Source organism: Homo sapiens, chromosome X, assembly GCF_000001405.40.
Source record: "Homo sapiens chromosome X, GRCh38.p14 Primary Assembly".
Lineage (NCBI taxonomy): Eukaryota > Metazoa > Chordata > Mammalia > Primates > Hominidae > Homo > Homo sapiens.
In genome coordinates, this window is record NC_000023.11 from 63246550 (window position 1) to 63270623 (window position 24074).

Below are 24074 nucleotides of genomic sequence, written 5' to 3' on the forward strand. Positions count from 1 at the left end.
GTGTTAGCCAGGATGGTCTCGATCTCCTGACCTCGTGATCCACCCGCCTCGGCCTCCCAAAGTGCTGGGATTACAGGCGTGAGCCACCGCGCCCGGCCATGCAACATTTTTTCATGAGTAGCCACCTCCTTTGGAGTCTTTAGAGAATCAGGAATATAGATTTCCATGTATTTACTCGTTTTAAGTAATGATTTAGCTGGCTCAGTCCAAAGGTTTGGTGTGGCCATATCCCGCTGGGGAGAGACTAGAATTTACATCACTTTTAGCAGCAGATCAGATGGGACAACAGCAGAGGCATGATATTTACAAAGCTGCTGCCCCTAACTTCACTTAGCTGACTGGCCTAGTCCTGCATCTCAGCTTCACTGGCTCCTTAACCTGCCATAGTAGTCCCTAAGGATGAAGATGCCTTCTCATTAAAGAATTCCCCAAACCACCAGTCCCACTGCAGGAATCTCCATTATGGGATCAAAGAAAATCCATTTTTTTTCTCTAGAGGCCTGCATTTCTTCTCTTTCTTATTAAGGCCCACAGGTATTACAATATTCAGAGCCTGCCTAGTGAGGGGTCCCAGTAAATGGTTTAGCCTCCTTCCCTGAGTATCTCAACACCTGTAACACAGAAATTCAGTTTTCATGATGTAGGTTCAAAGACATTTTGGTGCTTCCTCGGTCAGACTAATGAGACACAGGAGAAAACCATGAAAACTATAGAGTATAATACAGCATGAAGCAATGCCATGTCAAACTAAAGCAGAGGTGTTTTACATTTTAAGCCCCAACCACTTAAAGCTATCCAGGATCATTATGTCAATGGATGGTCTCACTGGCTAGGCAGTCTTCATGCCCATACTCTAATCGCCAAAATCCCATCTTTGTCATCACCTGTTTGAGTCCAGGGATTTGGGGCTAATCAAGGAAGAAGCTATGATGATGAGAGGCAGTAACACTCAAGAAGCTTTATTAGGCAGTGCTTTCACATGACAGGATAAAACTTTCACAGCCTGAAACTGTCCCGAAGCATATGGCCAGGGGTCCATGACACAGAAGGGGAAAAGACAAGGGAACTCTCTGAAGAGAGCACAGATGTATCAGAGAGGGGCCTATATGTCTAGGCGATGTCACTCAGTATTATAGAAAGAAGTCTCTGGATCAGATGTTCAAAAGGAAAAAAGCAATTTTGATGTGCAAAAATTCATTTGGCACCAGCAGGTTTTTGAGCTAACAGTTATCATATTGCAGTGAAGAAGTAAACAGCAACTTAAACAAATTTACGAGAAAAAAACAGCCCCATCAAAAAGTGGGCAGAGGATATGAACAGACACTTCTCAAGAGTAGACATTAACGTGGCCAACAAATATATTTTAAAAAGTTCAACATCACTGATCATCAGAGAATTGCAAATCAAAGCCACAATGAGATACCATGTCACGCCAGTCAGAATGGCGATTATTAAAAAGTCAAGAAACATTAGATGCTGGCGAGGCTGTGGAGAAATAGGAACGCTTTTACACTGTTGGTGGAAATGTAAATTAATTCAACTATTGTGGAAAACAGTATGGTGACTCATCAAGGATCTAGAACCAGAAATACCATTTGACCCAGCAATCGCATTACTGGGTATATACCCAAAGGAATATGAATCATTCTACTATAAAGACACATGCACACATGTGTTTATTGCAGCACTATTTACAATAGCAAAGACATAAAACCAGCCCAAAGGCCCATCAATGAGAGACTGGATAAAGAGAATGTGGTACATATACACCATGGAATTCTATGCAGGATTGGGGGACGAGGGGAGAAAACTTAGAGGATGGGTCACTGGGTACAGCAAACCACCATGGCACATGTATACCTATGTAACAAACCTGCACATTCTGCACATGTATCCTGTTTTTTTTTTTTTAGAAGAAATAAAGAAAAATGAAAATTAAAAAAAAAACACACACACAGGAGAAAAGAATTAAACAACCTAGGGTTCAATACACATAGGTCATCTTTGGCTCATTATACTACACTGTTATCATTGCCATGATTCAAAAAGGTATTTTATATTGGAATGTGTATATGTGTATTAGCAATTCCCCATGCTGCCATACACCCCACCTTTAGGTAGTGACTCTGCTGCATATTTCCTACATATTATCTTATTTCATTCTCAAAATAACTCTTTGAGGTGTATATCACTGATATTGCTAATTTGACAATTTAAGTGTGCGAATATTATTCTAAACCAGAATTCTGGAGGACCACAATAGGCTAATATTTACTAGTAAGCACTGGAATTGATTTTAATTTTAGTCCTAATAGCCCTTTTCATTTACCCTTGTAATGTTATAGGATATTCTGTAACACTATGTGGAGTCCTTTGCTACCTTAGAGCATCCTGCCCAATGATTTGTTCCTCCCTTTACAAGCAGCTACCTTCTCAATGTGGCTAATATTACTTCTAGATCTCTCATGTCAATGCTGGGGTCATTCTTCCTGTCCCACTTATGTGACCTTTGATAAGAAATGTATACATCAAATATACCTCACTCTCATTGACATGAACCTTTCAACAAACAAACCAAAAATATTTCATGATTTTGATGACTCATTTCCATGAGTTCTTCATCTGAGCCTTAAAGTTATCAGTGCCAACTGGAAAAATTGGGAATTTCTGATAAATGATTGTCACATTTCTGCAAATGAAGATTCATAAAGGCTCATCTGCATTTTTCAGAACATATGCACATCCATTCCTAATGAGCTTGCCTTCTACTAATGCCTTAAAATTTAAATAAGTGGATTTAATTCACCTTACCATCAAATAGAAACAGTGAAATCCTGAAAATATTACTTTGCTGTATATACCCAGCAGCCACTTAATGGAATCTTCAGGATAAAGCAAGATAATAAAATCACAAAGGGGAAGTAATTCAATTTAAAAGTGCTTGAGATTTCATGACTTTTCCCTGGACATGTTTTATTTATATGGTTTTGAAGCATATCTTTAATTATTTATCAGGTATCTGGAATTGGCCTTCTCTGGTTAGCAGACCCATAGAAACCATAAGGAATCTATCCAGATTATCAACACTTCATGGCCATTGGATGCTTTACATGGAAATTTAGATGTAGTGGCCTCATGAAAAATTTTTGTTTATTCAAAAATAAATAATATTTTTTAAGATCTCTATTACAACTTTCAGTCAGATTGACCATTCTGAAACACTGCATGATGTAAGCAGTAACTTCAGCAGGGTGGCAGAATATTAAAGCCCCATATGCTTCTTCACCCAAGGAAACAAGAATTGAACTAAAACATATGAGTCAGTAGCCTTTGTGACAAATCCAAAAACCAGTTAAAAGGTTCCTGCACCAAGGTGAGCTGAAGCCAGGAAAAAAAAAAATATCTATATATATATATGTGTGTGTGTGTGTATATATATTATATATATATTATATATATTTTTATGTATATTATATATAAAATATATATTATATATATAATATATATAATATAATATATATTATATATATATAATATATATATAATATATAATATATATATATATATAATATAATGTGTATATATATATATATATGTGTGGCATTTACTCAACAGAGCACCCCCTTCCCCAGCACAGTACAATGTGATTGGGAGGAAATCCCTAATTTCTAACTTCTCCTTTGAAATGGAAAGGAGTGGAATCCACAGCTAACATTCTGACTTCTCATGGTGCTGTCCAAGCAACTATTTTCTAACTTGCCTGCATCTAAGTGATGACAGGAGTAAGTGGCCAAATTGCAGACCACTGAAAACGAGAACATGACTAATTCTACAACTAGAGTCAGCAGTACCACAGAGAGACACTAGGTAGGGCTTCAGTTCTATAGCTTACTGCCCCACTTAGAGGCTGCAATATCGCAGAGAGACACTAGAGGGATTTCCTAAGCAGAAACATGCATGTTGTTTCAATTAAGAAACATGCACACTCAAAGAACCAGAAGAGGAAAAAAAACTGAACCCAATATTAGCAGATGAGGAATAATTAATAAAGATAAAGAAGAGATAAATTAGTGAACAGAAAAACAACAGAAAAAATAAAACCAAAAGATAGTTTTTTGACAAGATCAATAAAATTGACAAATCTTTAGTTAGAATATTACAAAAAGTAGAAGACTGAAATAACTGAATTTAGAAATGAAAGAGGGGATATAACAACTGATGTGACAGACAAAAAGGAGTATAAAAATTATATAGCAAAAATTATAACAACAAATTGAATATAGAAAAAAACGATAAACTTAACAGACATACAACCTACTGTATATGAATCATAAAGAAATGAAAAAAATTCTGAAAGGACTATAACTAGTAAGGAGATACAAGCAATAATCAAAAACTTCCCATACCAAAACAAGCCCACAATCAGCTGTCTTCACTGATGAATTCTACCAAATGTTCAAAAATTAGCACCAATTTTCAAACTCTTCCAAAAAATTGAAGAAGAGGGAACACTTTCAAACTCATTTTATGAGGCCAGTATTATTCTAATACCAGAACCAGAGACAAGAAGAAAATAAAACCACAGAACATTATCCGTGATGATTATTGATGCAAAAAATACTCAGGAAAATAGCAAATCAAATGCAGTAGCACCTTAAAAGTATTATACATGCTGATAAAGTGGGATTTATACCTGGAATGCAGAAATGGTTCAAAACAAAAAATCAATCAATATAATACACTATATTAACAAAATAAAGAGCAAAAATTGTGTCCTGGCCTCATTTAATGAAAATTCAACATACCTTTTTTTATAATATAAAGCACTCAACAACTGGAAATAAAAGAAAAATACCTTATCGTAATAAAAGCCATATATAAAAAACCATCAGATAACATTATACTTCATGGTGAAAGATTGAAATAGCTCTCTCTAATATCCAGAAGAAGGCAAGGAGGCCATTATTTCCACTACTGTTCAACATAGCACTGGTAGTCTTAGACAGAAATATCGGATAATAAAAAGTAATGAAAGACATCCAAATTGACAGAATCGTTTGGCAGAAAACACTAAAGATTACATGCACAAAAAAAAACTGTTGAAACTGATACATGCTTTCAAAAAAATTTCAGTAACCAACACAAGCATACAAAAATCAGTTGTTTCTATGCACTATAAATTACCAATGGGAAAAGGAAATAAAGAAAACAATTCCACTTACTATAACATCAAAAGGATAAAATACTTGGCAATAAACAAAGAGGTAAATGATGTACGGCGAAAAAAACAAAACATTACTAAAAGACTCAAATAAGAAACAAAAATATTAAAAACAATCTGTGCTTATGTATTGGACCACTTAATATTGTGAAAATGTCCAGAATATGTAAAGCAATCTACAGATTCAATTGAATCGCTACCAAAATCTCAATTTTTTATTATTTTACAGAAATACAAGAAAAAAATCCTAAAATTTATAAGGAATGTCAGGAAATCCAAATAGCCGGAACAGTCTTGTAAAAAAAATAATAAAATGAGAGAACTCACACTTCCTGATTTCAAAAAAGTAATCAAGATAGTAAATAATTTTTACAAAGTTAGAGAATTAATCAGTAATACAAAACAGAGAGCCAAGAAATGAACCTTGCATATATAACCAAATTATTCTTGAGAAGGGTACCAAACTACACAATGAGAAAGGAACAGACTCTTCAATAAATGGTGTTGAGAAAACTGGATATCTACACACAAAAGAATAAATGTGGACCCTTAAATTACACCATACAGAAAAGTTAACTGTAAAAGAATTAAAGATCTAAATGCAAGGCCTGATAATATAAAGTCATAGAAGAAAACATAGGGATAACTCTCAAGGCATTAGATTTGGCAATTATTTAATAAAGATGACATGAGAAGCGTAGGTAACAGAAGTTAAAATAGACAAATCAAACTATATCGAACTTAAAAACTTGCACACGTCAAAGAAAAAACAACATAGTGAAAAAGACAACATGGAAGAAAATATTTGCATATTATATATCTGATAAGGAGTTAAAAAGAATATATAAAAAACTTCAATTCACCACCAACGACCAAAATAAATTACCCAATTAAGATATAGGTAAAATAACACGAATAGACAAATAGGTATACAAATAGTCAACAAACATATGAAATGATGCCCAACATCACTATCATAAGTTGAATGCAAATCAAAACCACATTGATATATCACCTCCATACCCCTTAAGATGGCCACTATTAAAATTACATACAATAACAAATGTTGGAATGGATGTGGAGAAACTGGAATCTTTTTGCACTGTTGGCGGGTATATAAAATCATGCAGCCATTATGTAAAACATTATGGAGGTTCCTAAAAAATTAAAAAATTTAATTTCCAAGTGATCTGGCAATTCCACTCCTGGGTATATATCCAAAAGAACCCAAAGTGGGACCTCAAAGAGATAGTTGCATGCCCATGTTCACTGCAGCACTGTTCTCAGTAGCCAAGAGGTATAAATAACCTAAATGTCCATCAACAGATAAAATGATAATGAGAAAGTATATAAACAACAGTCTGATATTAAAGCCTTCAAAAAAAAAAGGGAAAATACCGTTATGTGCTACAACATGGGTGAGCCTTGAGGACATTATGTTAAGCAAAATAAACCAGTAACAAAAGGACAAATATTCTGTAATTCCACCCATATGAAGTATCTAATGTGGTCAAAATTATAAAAACAGAGAATAGGAAGGTGGTTATCAAGAGCTGGGGGAAGGAGTCAGGGACTTCATGCTTAGCGTATAGTTTCAGTTTTGAAACATAAAAAACCCAAAATCTCTGTTGCACAACACTGTAAATATACTTAACATGAAAAGACCTGAAAAACGTACTTCAGTAAGTGGGACTTCTCCAGGATGCGCACATAGATGTTCAATGATGTGGTCTCTGAGCCTTAAAATTACATGTCTTATTAAATTACCCCTTCAAGAAAGATAATAAAAGTATTATTCAAAGGGTATCTCTCATTGATGTGGACAAATTATTTCCATGAAGATCTTTTCTGATTATAAAGTATACATCATGCCCTCAAATTTATCTCTGCAGATGTAGAAAACTAACTTTGTCTTAAAAGATTTCCTGTTGTTTTAAATATTGCATGAATCACAGGTCCAGGAATTTGATGATGTACTCAAATTCCATAAAGAAGCTTCTCTAAATGAACTAAGAAAAAATCCTCCCTAATAGACCTGCTTTCTTCTAGGGAACCACAATTTTTTACATCCATATATTACTTTAAAGAGACCCTTACATTTTATAGATACAACAAATTCTTGATAAGATTTTCTAAATATGAACACATACTCATTTAATGGAGGCATCCAGCAAATTACAAAAGTATACTTCATTTAGTTTTGACTTATTTTAGGCCCATTTTGCCTTTTCCACTGGAATTTTGAATATTCTTAACTCTTTAGAATTTTATTACACTTCAAAAACAGTAGACTCTTGAGTGGACCTTTTCTAGCACACAAACATAAAAACTAATAAATACACAATTCACAGGAGTATTCTTGTACAAATCACTCCTCTTTCTAGATTCTACTATGCAATTTCTAGGCGCAGAGGCCCTTCTGCAGTGTTTCTGTTCACTCCAAACATACAAGCCCCACAAAAAGGTTCATTACTCTTTTCACATGAAAATCCTATAAAGTTGATTGGTAAATCTAAAAGAAAATAGCACTTCTATGAATGTGGATATAGGCAACCTTGGAGATCCTTTATATATTCAAGTCTTAGCTGCTCTATAAAATGTGATTCCTATGATTCACAGATACCTCCACAACAATTATGGGGGCTATTCTATCTTGCATATTTATCTTACCTATGATTTGATCTTGATGCTTTAAGAATACATCAGTTACATTAAAAATTCAATAAAAAATTATTCATTTCAAAGGGCATTTTCAAGTTTTTATTTAAATTACTCCAAGCAGGTGATAAAAATTATGGAACTAAATAGTAATGATTGCTGTACATATTTGTAAATATATTCAAAACCATTAACTGTATACTTTAAATGGGTGGATTTCATGGTTTGTAAGTTATACCTCAATAAAGCTGTTACAAGAAATTACTCACAAGTAAATGTATCTTATTAATTAATGACCTAGTTTCCTTTTAAGTTTACTCTGTGTAGCTGGGACTTAAGCATTGTGAAAAATACACTAATGTTTTATGAAAACACAAAATTAATAAATGGGAACCCAGTCTTTAGCAGTACCTTCCTGCCTAAAAATAAGCAATTTTTTTCCACAAAATGTCTAATATGGTTTACCATATTATATTTTCCATAAATTTTATTTACACTATATTTTAATAATGAAATGGCAAGGTTTTGTAAAATTTTACAGTAACAACTAATTCACTAAAACATCATCTGCCATTATGCACATACCACTATTATTATAAACTCAACTTTCCATTAAAGAAGGGTAAATTCACAGTGGGAAATTCCTCCCATGTAACTACACTTCAGACTCATATGGTATTCCCTGAAGATTCTTGGCGTACCTGACCAGTCATGATTTCTTGCCTCTTTAAAATAACACAAAAAATTTGAGTGAGCTCTCTGTGCATTAGAAGCCTACAGACACCCAATTGATGTCTGTTATGTAGACTTAAACACACTGTTATAAAATTTAAGACCTAATATTCTAAGAGTGTCAACAAAAAGAGTCAAATTCTGTAAAATATTTTAAGAGATTTATTCTGAGCCAAGTATGGGTGAACATGGTCCATGATACAGCCCTCAGGAGGTCCTGAGAACATGTGCCCAAGGTGGTTTGGGTACAGCTGGGTTTCATATATTTTAGATAGGCATGAGACATCAATCAAATAAATCTAAGAAATACATTGGTTTTGTTCAGAAAGGCAGGACAACTCAAAGCTGGGGGGGTTTCCAGGATATAGGTAAATTTAAACAACTTCTGACTGACAATTGGTTGAGTTTGTCTAAAGACCTGGAATTGAAGAAGGAAAATGTTCAGATAAGACAATAAATGTGGAAAAGGCGTTTGACAAAGTTCAACACCCCTTCATGCTAAAAACTCTCAATAAACTAGGTATGATGGAACGTATCTCAAAATAATAAGAGCTATTTATGACAAACCCACAGCCAATATCATACTGAATGGACAAAAACTGGAAGCATTCCCTTGGAAAACTGGCACAAGGCAAGGATTCCCTCTCTCACCACTCCTATTCAACATAGTATTGGAAGTCCTGGCCAGGGCAATCAGGCAAGAGAAAGAAATAAAGCATAGTCAAATAGGAAGAGAGGAAGTAAAATTGTCTCTGTTTGCAGATGAAATGATTGTACATTTAGAAAACCCCATTGTCTCAGCCACAAAACTCCTTAAGCTAATAAGCAACTTCAGCAAATTCTCAGGATACAAAATCAACGTACAAAAATCACAAGCACTCCTATGCACCAATAATAGACAAACATAGAGCCAAATCATGAGTGAACTCCCATTCACAATCACTTCAAAGAGAGTAAAATACCTAGGAATCCAACTTACAAGGGATCTGAAGGACCTCTTCAAGGAGAACTACAAACCACTGCTCAAGGAAATAAAAGAGGACACAAACAAATGGAAAAACAGTCCATACTCATGTATAGGAAGAATCAATATCGTGAAAATGGCCATATGGCCCAAAGTAATTTATAGATTCAATGCCATCCCCATCAAGCTATCATTGACTTTCTTCACAGAATTAGGAAAAACTACTTTAAATTTAATATGGAACCAAAGAAGAGCCTGCATACCCAAGACAATCCTAAGCAAAAAGAACAAAGCTGGAGGCATCACACTACCTGACTTCAAACTATACTACAAGGCTACAGTAACCAAAACAGCAAGATACTGGTACCAAAACAGAGATATAGACCAATGGAACAGAACAGACACCTCAGAAATAATGCCACACATCTACAACCATCTGATCTTTGACAAACCTGACAAAAACAAGCAATATGGAAAGGATTCCCTATTTAGTAAATGGTGTTGGGAAAACTGGCTAGCCATATGCAGAAAACTGAAACTGGACCCTTTCCTTACACCTTATACAAAAATTAACTCAAGATGGATTAAAGACTTAAATGTAAGGCCTAAAACCATAAAAATGCTAGAAGAAAACCTAGGCAATACCACTCAGGACATAGGCATGGGCAAAGACTTCCTGACTAAAACACCAAAAGCAATGGCAACAGAAGCCAAAATTGACAAATGGGATTTAATTAAACTAAAGAGCTTCTGCACAACAGAAGAAACTATCATCAGAGTGAGCAGGCAACCTACAGAATGGGAGAAAATTTTTGCTATCTATCCATCTCACAAAGGGCTAATATCCAGAATCTACAAAGAACTTAAACAAATTTACAAGAAAAAAACAAACAACCCATCAAAAAGTGGGCAAAGGATATGAACAGACACTTCTCAGAAGAAGACATTTATGCAGCCAACAAACAAGAAAAAAAGCTCATCATCACTGGTCATTAGAGAAATGCAAATCATAACAACAATGAGATACCATCTCACACCAGTTAGAATGGTGATAATTAAAAAGTCAGGAAACAACAGATGCTGGAGAGGATGTGGAGAAATAGGAATGCTTTTACTCTGTTGGTGGGAGTGTAAATTAGTTCAACCACTGTGGAAGACAGTGTGGAGATTCCTCAATGATCTAGAACCAGAAATACCATTTGACCCAGCCATCCCATTACTGGGTATATACCCAAAGGATTATAAATCATTCTACTATAAAGACACATGCACACATTTATTGCGGCACTGTTCACAATAGCAAAGACTTGAAACAAACCCAAATGTCCATCAATGATAGACTGGATGAAGAAAACGTGGCACATATACACCATACTATGCAGCCATAGAAAATGATGAGTTCATGTCCTTTGCAGGGACATGGATGAAGCTGGAAACCATTATTCTCAGCAAACTAACACAAGAGCAGAAAACCAAACACCATGTGTTCTCACTCATAAGTGGGAGCTGAACAATGAGAACACATGGATGCAGAGAGGGGAACATCACACACCAGGGCCTGTCAGGGGGTTGAGGGGTAAGGGAGGGATAGCCTTAGGAGAAATGCTTAATGTAGATGATGGCTTGATGGGTGCAGCAAACCACAATGTCACATATGTACCTATGTAACAAACCTGCACGTTCTGCCCATGTATCCCAGAACATTAAGTATAATTTAAAAAAAAATTAAAAAAAGATTGTGGAGACCAAAGTTCTTTTGAAGTCTTATAGTGGCTGTCCTTAGAGACAATAGGTGAAAAATATTCCCTATTCAGATCTTTAAAAGGTGCTACTTTCAGTTAATCTATTCAGGATTGGAAGGGCCTGGAAGAAAAAGATCTAACTATGTTAATAGAGATTCTTCACAGATGGAGATTTTCAGGGCCATTAGAGAAACATGTTTTGGGGTAAAATACTTTTATTTTCTTCCTTGTCTCAGAATGTTATGCCAGAGTCAGATTGGAAAGTAAGTCATGATATATAGGGTTAAATAAAACCCATCTGATGAGAATTTATGGTTTGTAGGGCATGACTCCCCAGACTCCTTAGATAGGAATTTGGGCAAGGTAAAAAAATCAGAGCTTATTCTTCAGTGCCACCTCTTGGCCAAAAAGCATTCCATGGAATGCATATGCAGGCCAAAAAACTCCCACAGCACTAGGGAGGCTCATTCCTAAAGTTGTCTGATTTGGCCATTTGGCAGGGTCCCATGGTGCTAGGAAGACTTGTTCCTAGAGTTCTCTGACTTGATGGTAATAATTTTAAATATTAACGATTTGGACAATGTGGGGAGGACATGGTCTGACCTGATGTAATAGCCAATTGTTTAAGGGGTGAGATGGAGTCAGGCCAAGGGTTTAGTCTAAAAAAATTCCAGATCAGATCTATTTTCTGAGCTATCATGATCCAGGTCTTTAACTGTGCCTTTTCCTTCTGCTGTATCTGGCATAACATTTACAAGAAATGTCTAATGTTAATATAGTAACAAACATCATAAAGATAGTGAATATTTGGGTGTCCAAGGTTATAGGTAGAATCAGAGGGCAGTAAACAACCCAACCAAACAGAAAAAAAAACTCTGCATGCATCATTATATTATTTGATCAGACTCACAATGTGTTTACCCTCCTTATCAAGGGTTACTTGACCTTTATGGTAAATCTTATTTGAGAATTGTAGGACCAACATTAAGTTTGAATTTAATAAATTTAATTTCTCTTCCAGCCAATTTATCTCCATAGATATAGCATCCTGAGAAGGGTATATATTACATGCAAGAAACACCTCATCCTCATTGTGTAAATTGTTATAGACTTGTTAACAGTAGACAAATCTATTTTTCCCAATACTTTTGTATTGCACCATATACTGGTATTCGGGAGAGAAAAGGTTCTGTCACAGGAGAAGTCATGTAATTCTACAGTGTCATTTTTTCCTCAGCAGGACTCCCTATGGCCGAGGACCTTCAGAGTCAAAAGACTTATACCCAATTATTTTAGGCCATATAGGAATGGATGTGGAAAGGCATTCATTACTTCTTAAAATTATTATTTTAAGTTTAAAAAGCTGACAATAAAACCAAAAGGCAAAGTTACAAGACTGACTTATTTTTAACTTTTATGTGTTGAGCTACAGTAAGCTTGGTTTCTGTTACAGACTTACAGCAATTAGCTATACAAAACATAAGCATTATTTTAAAATATAATAAAAAATATGTATAAATATATTTTTATCTTTACAACTTATACTTGGAGTATGATACTCAGGAGGCTTTGTTTCAAGTTATTTTATCCTGTTAGTAAATATTTTTCTTTAATTTTATCGTAAGCAGAAAATTTTTATGGTTGGTGTGGATGCAAAAGTGACATATTATAATTTAGAAGGCAACTAAAGTTGTTTTACTAATTGTTTAGGCATTTTTTTGTACCCCCTTCTTGATTTGGAGGGTTTGATCTTGACCTAATTTATTACTGAAAACCGGCCCTTACAATCTTATGCACCCACCTCTTCTGTGATAGTCCCTGGGCCTAGGGGTGAGGCAGCTTGTATAGTTTTGGCAGCAGAACATTAGCAGTGAAACAGATCGGGGCCGGTGGGATGCCAAATGAAGGAGATTCATATCTCTGGTCTTCAGAATACCATGATTTTGGTTTCCTTGGAAGTAAAACAAGGAGAGATAAATAACATTTATAGTTTGACAATTATAGAATAATTTGTATGTTAGAACAGAAAAAGGAAATAGAAAGGTGCCCTATTCTATTAGGGCACCAACTAAAAATATGAAGAAAAATTACAATCTGGTACTTTCTAGAGGATTATTGTAGCCAAGAACAATAATTTAATCTGCACTTAAAAAGTTAGGACTGAAATCTAGTATTAAGTGTCACACTTTTCCCTTAAAACAATTATTTTTTAATTATCATTAAACTAATGCAGACAATTATAATGTTATAAAATCACAATCTGAATTTTGGAGAACTCAGAAAGGTAAATTTGCTTACAAAAACATACTTTTTCCAAATAACTTAAAAAAAAATGTCTTGACCCTCTTTTAACCAGAGCAGCAGCTTTTAAGACAAGATGTTTGTTTACCTTGGAAATGTCATTTACAAACCAAACAGCTCATGAGAGCTATTTGGCACTATAGAATTTAGCAGCTTCTTACAATTAGTCCTAGAAAAAGGCTCTCTGCTTATTATATAGCAAGATTTTATGTAAACCATTTTTATTTTACCATGGAACTTTTTGGAAAACATTATTCCCATTAGTATAGGGGTAGCTCCAGTTAATATTCCACAGCAAGGCAGTAAATGCCCCACGAAGTAGAAATTCTCTAGCTCAGTCGTTGTTACTGAAAAGTACACACGGTTTTTACCATAAGCCCCATAAATGCTCCAAACAAAAGACTATGCAGTGGAGGATTTACATGAGCAGATTTACATGTCTTCAGCTTTACAGTACTAGAAAGAGGAAAACATTCCACAGTTAGATATACTATCCATTTTCATAAGACATTTAGGTAAAAGGGGTTACAACTACCTCACAGAGAGCTTGTTTAAACATCTTACATTTTATAATTCTATTAATCTGTATGTTTTATGTTCTGGTCCCCAGAAGTCTTTTTTAACCCCAGACCACTTTAATTTTTCTGGTGAAAAAGACTTGGGTTCCCAGCAGGGAGTTGCATCTTTAAGGCATATGAGGGACAGATTTGATAAGCCTTCTTAAAAAGACCCATAATTCTGTGAGAGGGGCACCCATATAAAAGGGCCCCCCTTAACCATCAAATATACCATGACCCAGACGATAGACAAATTTGGTGGGAGGATATCACAGTTATTATAAAGCTAGTCTCTCACAGCTTGCATATGAAATATATTAACGGCTTCATCTGGGGTACTTCACTTGCTATTTTTTTTTATTATTATTACATTTTAAGATTTAGGGTACATGTGCACAATGAGCAGGTTTCTTACATATGTATACAGGTGCCATGTTGGTGTGCTGTACCCATTAACTCAACATTTAGCATTAGGTATATCTCCTAATGCTATACCTCCACCCTCCCCCCACCCCACAACAGTCCCCGGTGTGTGATGTTCCCCTTCCTGTGTCCATGTATTCTCATTGTTCAATTCCCACCTATGAGTGAGAACATGTGGCGTTTGGTTTTTTGTCCTTGCGATAGTTTGCTGAGAATGATGGTTTCCAGTTTCATCCATGTCCCTACAAAGGACATGAACTCTTCATTTTTTATGGCTGCATAGTATTCCATGGTGTATATGTGCCACATATTCTTAATCCAATCTAGCATTGTTGGACATTTGGGTTGGTTCCAAGTCTTTGCTATTGTGAATAGTGCCACAATAAACATATTTGTGCATGTGTCTTTGTAGCAGCATGATTTATAATCCTTTGGGTATATACCCAGTAATGGGATGGCTGGGTCAAATGGGATTTCTAGTTCTAGATCGCTGAGGAATCGCCACACTGACTTCCACAATGGTTGAACTAGTTTACAGCCCCACAAACAGTGTAAAATGTTCCTATTTCTCCACATCCTCTCCACCACCTGTTGTTTCCTGATTTTTTAATGATCACCATTCTAACTGGTGTGAGATGGTATCTCATTGTGGTTTTGATTTGCATTTCTCTGATGGTCAGTGATGATGAGCATTTTTTCTTGTGTTTTTTGGCTGCATAAATGTCTTCTTTTGAGAAGTGTCTGTTCATATCCTTTGCCCACTTTTTGATGGGGTTGTTTGTTTTTCTCTTGTAAATTTGTTTGAGTTCATTGTAGATTCTGGATATTAGCCCTTTGTCAGATGAGTAGGTTGCAAAAATTTTCTCCCATTCTGTAGGTTGCCTGTTCACTCTGATGGTGGTTTCTTTTGCTGTGCAGAAGCTCTTTAGTTTCATTAGATCCCATTTGTCAATTTTGGCTTTTGTTGGATTGCTTTTGGTGTTTTAGTCATGAAGTCCTTGCCCATGCCTATGTCCTGAATGGTATTGCCTAGGTTTTCTTCTAGGGTTTTTATGGTTTTAGGTCTAACATGTAAGTCTTTAATCCATCTTGAATTAATTTTTGTATAGGGTGTAAGGAAGGGATCCAGTTTCAGCTTTCTACATATGGCTAGCCAGTTTTCCCAGCACCATTTATTAAATAGGGAATCCTTTCCATATTGCTTGTTTTTGTCAGGTTTGTCAAAGATCAGATGGTTGTAGATATGTGGCATTATTTCTGAGGGCTCTCTTCTGTTCCGTTGTTCTATATCTCTGTTTCGGTACCAGTACCATGCTGTTTTGGTTACTGTAGCCTTGTAGTATAGTTTGAAGTCAGGTAGCGTGATGCCTCCAGCTTTGTTCTTTTGGCTTAGGATTGACTTGGCAATGCGAACTCTTTTTTGGTTCCATATGAACTTTAAAGTAGCTTTTTCCACTTTTGTGAAGAAAGTCATTGGTAGCTTGATGGGGATGGCATTGAATCTATAAATTACCTTGGGACACATGGCCATTTTCACGATATTGATTCTTCCTGCCCATGAGCATGGAATGTTCTTCCATTTGTTTGTATCCTCTTTTATTTCATTGAGCAGTGGTTTGTAGTTCTCCTTGAAGAGGTCCTTCACATCCTTTGTAAGCTGGATTCCTAGGTATTTTATTCTCTTTGAAGCAATTGTGAATGGGAGTTCACTCATGATTTGGCTCTCTGTTTTTCTGCTATTGGCTTATAAGAATGCTTGTGATTTTTGCACATTGATTTTGTATCCTGAGACTTTGCTTACTTTGCTTATCAGCTTAAGGAGATTTTGGGCTGAGACGGTGGGGTTTTATATATATACCATCATGTCATCTGCAAACAGGGACAATTTGACTTCCTCTTTTCCTAATTGAATGCCCTTTATTTCCTTCTCCTGCCTGATTGCCCTGGCCAGAATTTCCAACACTATGTTGAATAGGAGTGGTGAGAGAGGGCATCCCTGTCTTGTGCCAGTTTTCAAAGGGAATCCTTCCAGTTTTTGTCCATTCAGTATGATATTGGCTTTGGGTTTTCATAGATAGCTATTACTATTTTCAGATAAGTCCCACCAATACCTAATATTGAGAATTTTTAGAATGAAGGGTTGTTGAATTTCGTCAGAGGCTTTTATGCATCTATATAGATAATCATGTGGTTTTTGTCTTTGTTTCTGTTTATATGCTGCATTACATTTATAGATTTTCGTATGTTGAACCAGCCTTGCATCCCAGGGATGAAGCCCACTTGATCATGGTGGATAAGCTTTTTGATGTGCTGCTGGATTCAGTTTGCCAGTATTTTATTGAGGATTTTTGCATCAGTGTTCATCAGGGATACTGGCCTAAAATTCTCTTTTTTTGTTGTGTCTCTGCCAAGCTTTGGTATCAGGATGATGCTGGCCTCATAAAATGAGTTAGGGAGGATTCCCTCTTTTTCTATTGATTGGAATAGTTTCAGAAAGAATGGTACCAGCTCCTCCTTGTACCTCTGGTAGAATTTGGCTGTGAATCCATCTGGTCCTGGACTTTTTTTGGCTCGTAAGCTACTCATTATTGCCTCAAATTCAGAGCCTCTTATTGGTCTAATTCAGAGATTCGACTTCTTTATACTTTAGTCTTGGGAGAGTGTATGTGTTGAGGAATTTATCCATTTCTTCTAGATTTTCTAGTTTATTTCTGTAGAGGTGTTTATAGTATTCTCTGATGGTAGTTTGTATTTCTGTGGAATCAGTGGTGATATACCCTTTATCATTTATTATAGTGTCTATTTGATTCTTCTCTCTTTTCTTCTTTGTTAACCTTGCTAACAGTCTATCAATTTTGTTGATCTTTTCAAAAAATCAGCTCCTGGATTCACTGATTTCTTGAAAGGTTTTTTGTGTCTCTATTTCCTTCAGTTATGCTCTGATCTTAGTTATTTCTTGCCTTCTGCTAGCTTTTGAATGTGTTTGCTCTTGCTTCTCTAGTTCTTCTAATTGTGATGTTAGAGTGTCAATTTTAGATCTTTCCTGCTTTCTCTTGTGGACATTTAGTGCTATAAATTTCCCTCTACACACTGCTTTGAATGTGTCCCAGAGATTCTGGTATGTTGTGTCTTTTTTCTTGTTGGTTTCAAGGAACATCTTTATTTCTGCCTTCATTTCGTTATGTACCCAGTTGTCGTTCAGGAGCAGGTTGTTCAGTTTCCATGTAGTTGAGCGGTTTTGAGTGAGTTTCTTTATCCGGAGTTCTAGTTTGATTGCACTGTGGTCTGAGAGACAGTTTGTTATAATTTCTGTTCTTGTACATTTGCTGTGGAGTGCTTTACTTCCATCTGTGTGGTCAATTTTGGAATAGGTGTGGTGTGGTGCTGAAAAGAATGTATATTCTGTTGATTTGGGGTGGAGAGTTCTTTAGATGTCTATTAGGTCTGCTTGGTGCAGAGCTGAGTTCAATTCCTGGATATCCTTGTTAACTTTCTGTCTCATTGATCTGTCTAATGTTGACAGTGAGGTGTTAAAATCTCCCATTATTATTGTGTGGGAGTCTAAGTTTCTTTGTATGTCACTAAGGACTTGCTTTATGAATCTGGGTGCTCCTGTATTGGATGCACATATATTTTGGAGAGTTACCTCTTCTTGTTGAATTGATCCCTTTATCATTATGTAATGGCCTTCTTTGTCTCTTTTGATCTTTGTTGGATTAAAGTCTGTTTTATCCAAGACTAGGATTGCAACCCCTGCCTTTTTTTGTTTTCCATTTGCTTGGTAGATCTTCCTCCATCCCTTTATTTTGAGCCTATGTGTGTCTCTGCATGTGAGATGGGTTTCCTGAATACAGCACACTGATGGGTCTTGACTCTTTATCCAATGTGCCAGTCTGTGTCTTTTAGTTGGAGCATTTAGCCCATTTACTTTTAAGGTTAGTATTGTTATGTGTGAATTTGATCCTGTCATTATCATCTTAGCTGGTTATTTTGCTCGTTAGTTGATGCAGTTTCTTCCTAGCCTTGGTGGACTTTACAATTTGGCATGTTTTTGCAGTGGCTGGTACCGGTTGTTCCTTTCCATGTTTAGTGCTTCCTTCAGGAGGTCTTTTAGGGCAGGCCTGGTGGTGACAAAATCTCTCAGCATTTGCTTGTCTGTTAAGTATTTTATTTCTCCTTCACTTATGGAGCTTAGTTTGGCTGGATATGAAATTCTGGGTTGAAAATTCTTTTCTTTAAGAATGTTGAATATTAGCCCCATCTCTCTTCTGGCTTGTAGAGTTTCTGCCAAGACGTCAGCTGTTAGTCTGATGGGCTTCCCTTTGTGGGTAACCTGACCTTTCTCTCTGGCTGCCTTTAGCATTTTTTCCTTCATTTCAACTTTGGTGAATCTGACAATTATGTTTCTTGGAGTTGCTCTTCTCGAGGAGTATCTTTGTGGCATTCTCTGTATTTCCTGAATTTGAATGTTGCCCTGCCTTGCTAGATTGGGGAAGTTATCCTGGATAATATCCTGCAGAGTGTTTTCCAACTTGGTTCCATTCTCCCCATCACTTTCAGGTACACCAATCAGATGTAGATTTGGTCTTTTCACATAGTCCCAGATTTCTTGGAGGCTTTGTTCATTTCTCTTTATTCTTTTTTCTCTAAACTTCTCTTCTCACTTCATTTCATTCATTTCATCTTCCATCACTAATACACTTTCTTCCAGGTGATCGCATCGGCTACTGAGTCTTGTGCATTCGTCATTTAGTTCTCGTGCCATGGTTTTCAGCTCCATCAGGTCCTTTAAGGACTTCTCTGCATTGGTTATTCTAGTTAGCCATTCGTCTATTTTTTTTCAAGGTTTTTAACTTCTTTGCCTTGGGTTCGAACTTCCTCCTTTAGCTCGGAGAAGTTTGATCTTCTGAAGCCTTCTTCTCACAACACGTCAAAGTCATTCTCTGTCCAGCTTTGTTCCATTGCTGGTGAGGAGCTGCGCTCCTTTGGAGGAGGAGAGGTGCTCTGATTTTTAGAGCTTCCAGTTTTTCTGCTCTGTTTTTTCCCCATCTTTGTGGTTTTATCTACCTTTGGTCTTTGATGATGGTGACAAACAGGTGGGGTTTTGGTGTGGATGTCCTTTCTGTTTGTTAATTTTCCTTCTAACAGTCAGCACCCTCAGCTGCAAGTGTGTTGGAGTTTGCCAGAGGTCCACTCCAGACCCTGTTTGCCTGGGTATCAGCAGTGGAGGCTGCAGAACAGCGGATATGGTGAACTGCAAATGCTGCTGCCTGATCGTTCCTCTGGAAGTTTTGTCTCAGAGGAGTACCCGGCCCTGTGAGGTGTCAGTCCGCCCCTACTGGGATGTGCCTCCCAGTTAGGCTACTCGGGGGTCAGGGACCCACTTGAGGAGGCAGTCTGCCCATTCTCAGATCTCAAGCTGGGTGCTGGGAGAACCACTACTCTCTTCAAATCTGTCAGACAGGGACATTTAAGTCTGCAGAGGTTACTGCTGCCTTTTGTTTGTCTGTGCCCTGCCCCCAGAGGTGGAGCCTACAGAGGCAGGCTGGCCTCCTTGAACTGTGGTGGTCTCCACCCAGTTCAAGCTTCCCAGCTGCTTTGTTTACCTACTCAATCCTTGGCAATGGTGGGTGCCCCTCCCCCCACCTAACTGCCCCCTTGCAGTTTGATCTCAGACTGCTGTGCTAGCAATGAGTGAGGCTCCATGGGTGTAGGACCCTCTGAACCATGCGCAGGATATAATCTCCTGGTGGGCCATTTGTTAAGCCTCAGTTAGAAAGGCAGAAATCTCCCATCTTCTGTGTCGCTCACGCTGGGAGCTGTAGACTGGAGCTGTTCCTATTCAGCCATCTTGGCTCTCTCCCACTTGCTATTTTATAGAGAGAGTTGGACAGTCCCCTTCGCGGAGCAAACAGACCTTATAATGGCATTATCTGGCCCACTAGGCTGATTGCTTTCTCAGGAATAACCCTCTATGCATGTGGATTGCAGATACTCAGTGATTGTTCAGTAATGAGCTGTGGGCCCTGCATTAATCCAAATAAGCCCTTAAATTCTGTAGCATTTAAAATTAATAATTTGGCCTTAAAGTGGTTATTTTTACAATCTACTACTTTTAAAGTAACTGAATGATACCAGTCTACAAAATTGAACAGTTCCTTTGCATTACACCATCTGGTTTTTAGTGGTTACTTGGTTGTACCCTTCCCCTATATCAACTATTTTTCTTGATAACCACAGGACTTAGAGTTAGTTTTTGTTGCCCTAGCTTATTTTTCTATCCATTTCATTTTATCTGTATAATTTCCTTCATTATAAAGCAACTCTTAAATAGTTCTTAACCAAAAAAACCTTGCTTTTTTGAAAATTGACATCCTTGTGTTTAATAAAATTTTTAATAGCATATTTTATGCTCCTACTATTTTAACTTTTAGTACCCCAAATTTCCAGTGGAGAAAAAAAACTGAAGTTTTAACATAATTTTAAGATATTAAATTACTACAGAGAGTTTTGAGATTTAATTTTCAAAATTTATTTTACCAAAGATTACCAAGGTCATGTGAACTAAAAGACATCTCAGCTAGGTTGTACAAATTTGGTAAGCATTCACATTTTTTAAGTTACTTGATTAGAGCTTTTTCATGTAGTTTGATAGTGAAATATCACTTCTACATGACACATAAAGATAGAGATATAACAGGCATGCACAATAAAAAGGCAGGCCCAAAAGATATTGTATTTGCCTATTTTCAAAAAACTTCCTCACTTACTTTAGATAATTAATAAAAGTTACAGTAGTCAACAAAAGGTGAAGGAGAGAGCTATTAAGGCCTTTCCAAAGGAGAAAGAATTGAACTTCTGAGATATCAGTCTGAAGAATGTTACAGAGACTGATCATAGAATCTTAAAATTTAAAAATTTTGCATTAAAAGTAAGTTAAATATTTATAATAATCTTGTTTTTTAACTAATTTTTCAGTTTTGTATTAGTGTATTTTTAATATCAAAACCCATCTCCAGAAAAACTATTATAATTTCTTCTTAATCACAGCCAATTGAATTATACAAACCCCTTTAAAAATTCCTTCTTACTAACCTTATTATTACTTACATAATTCATTCACAATTTGTTTAGACTCTTTTGTCTTAAATGTCCCTCTTTCTTGAGCAACCCCATCATTTTATTTTAGGATAAATATTTACTACACAAGATTCTTTCTTATATAACATTACTTTTTTAACCTTTTTTTTTTTTAACAAAAATACCTCTTTATATCCTTAACTCTTTTTACATCTCTTATTTCCTGATTCCTTTACCTTGTTTCATACATAACCCTTAAATAAGCTTTGAATTAGACAAAGATATTTTACCTTTAAATAAGAACATTTAAAAAATGTTTTCCTTTCAATGCCATCCCCATCAAACTACCAATGACTTTCTTCACAGAATTGGAAAAGACTACTTTAAAGTTCATATGGAACCAAAAAGGAGCCCGCATTGCCAAGACAATCCTAAGCCAAAAGAACGAAGCTGGAGGCATCACGATACCTGATTTCAAACTATACTACAGGGCTACAGTAACCAAAACACTGCTACCAAAACAGAGATATACAACAATGGAACAGAACAGAGCCCTCAGAAATAATACCACACATCTACAACCATCTGATCTTTGACAAACCTGGCAAAAACAAGCAATGGGGAAAGGATTCCCTATTTAATAAATGGTGCTGGGAAAAATGGCTAGCCATATGTAGAAAGCTGAAACTGGAATTCAAGATGGATTAAAGACTTAAATGTTAGACCTAAAACCATAAAAAACCTAGAAGAAAACCTAGTCAATGCCACTCAGGACATAGGCATGGGCAAGGACTTCATGTTTAAAACACCAAAACCAACGGCAACAGAAGCCAAAATTGACAAATGGGATCTAATTAAACTAAAGAGCTTCTGCACAGCAAAAGAAACTACCATCAGAGTGAACAGGCAACCTACAGAATAGGAGAAAATTTTTGCAATCTACTCATCTGACAAAGGGCTAATATCCAGAATCTACAAAGAACTTAAACAAATTTACAAGAAAAAGTCAAACAACCCCAACGAAAAGCGGGCAAAGGATATGAACAGACACTTCTCGAAAGAAGACATTTATGCAGCCAAAAGACACATGAAAAAATGCTCATCATCACTGGCCATCAGAGAATTGCAAATCAAAACCACAATGAGATACCATCTCACACCAGTTAGAATGACGATCATTAAAAAGTCAGGAAACAACAGGTGCTGGAGAGGATATGGAGAAATAGGAACACTTTTACACTGTTGGTGGGACTGTAAACTAGTTCAACCATTGTGCAAGTCAGTGTGGTGATTCCTCAGGGATCTAGAACTAGAAATCCCATTTGACCCAGTCATCCCGTTACTGGGTATATACCCAAAGGATTATAAATCATGCTACTATAAAAACACATGCACATGTATGTTTATTGCGGCACTATTCACAATAGCAAAGACTTGGAACCAACCCAAATGTCCATCAGTGATAGACTGGATTAAGAAAATGTGGCACATATACACTGTGGAATACTATGCAGCCAAAAAAAGGATGAGTTCATGTCCTTTGTAGGGACATGGATGAAGCTGGAAACCATCATTCTCAGCAAACTATCACAAGGACAGAAAACCAAACACCACGTGTTCTCACTCATAGGTGGGTATTGAACAATGAGAACACATGGATACAGGGTGGGGAACATCACACACCAGGGCCTGTTGTGAGGTGGGGGGAGGAGAGGAGATAGCATTAGGAGAAATACCTAATGTAAATGTTGAGTTAATGGGTGCAGAACACCAACATGGCACATGTATACATATGTAACAAACCTCCACGTTGTGCCCTAGAACTTAAAGTGTAATAAAAAAAAAGTTTTCCTATAATTTTTCAATTGGAATTTATCCAGATATTTAATACCAAATAATAACCTTAGATCCTAAATTATGTCAAGTTTGTTTACAAGCATTTATTCAATTACATTTACCTGATTAATTTAATAGTTTACCTAGATTATTTTAAAAAACTGTGATAAACAATATTTAAAGTTATTTTCCTGTTTACCATTTTTATAGCTCTGAATTTCAGGTATTTACTTATGTAATAAAACTTATGGTTAAATTTAAGGATATTTATACCAATAACTCAGGGTTTAGCTGTTTTCATTTAAGCCAACAATATTTCATAAGCATATACAAGCAATGATCATTCTGTCTTGGGCTGAGTTTTATAGTTTATAACCTTTATGGCAAATCTTATAGTACTCTGTGGGAATAAACATAAAACTACAATAAAGCAAACAAAAAATGCTAACATTGATGATATTATTTTACCAATAATTTTAAAGCTGGCTTATTTAAAGATTTTACTTAAGTCACGTGAACTTGAAAAAGCATTTGACTAGTCATTTAAGTATTTGATTTAA

The 24074-nt window shown here is 36.2% G+C and overlaps 1 long non-coding RNA gene across 5 annotated transcripts in view; it reads right to left on the bottom strand.

Annotated features, from left to right (window-relative positions):
- Positions 1-24074, bottom strand: part of LOC105377212 (uncharacterized) — a 54563-nt gene that overhangs the window by 23466 nt on the left and 7023 nt on the right. For 2 of the 5 annotated variants that reach the window (XR_007068256.1, XR_007068253.1), the window contains exon 1: positions 6900-8886. This is a non-coding gene — a long non-coding RNA (uncharacterized LOC105377212). Of the gene's footprint in view, positions 1-6899; positions 8887-13118; positions 14559-24074 lie in introns of those variants that run through there. The other 3 variants (XR_007068254.1, XR_007068252.1, XR_001755867.2) reach the window with 3 other exon arrangements.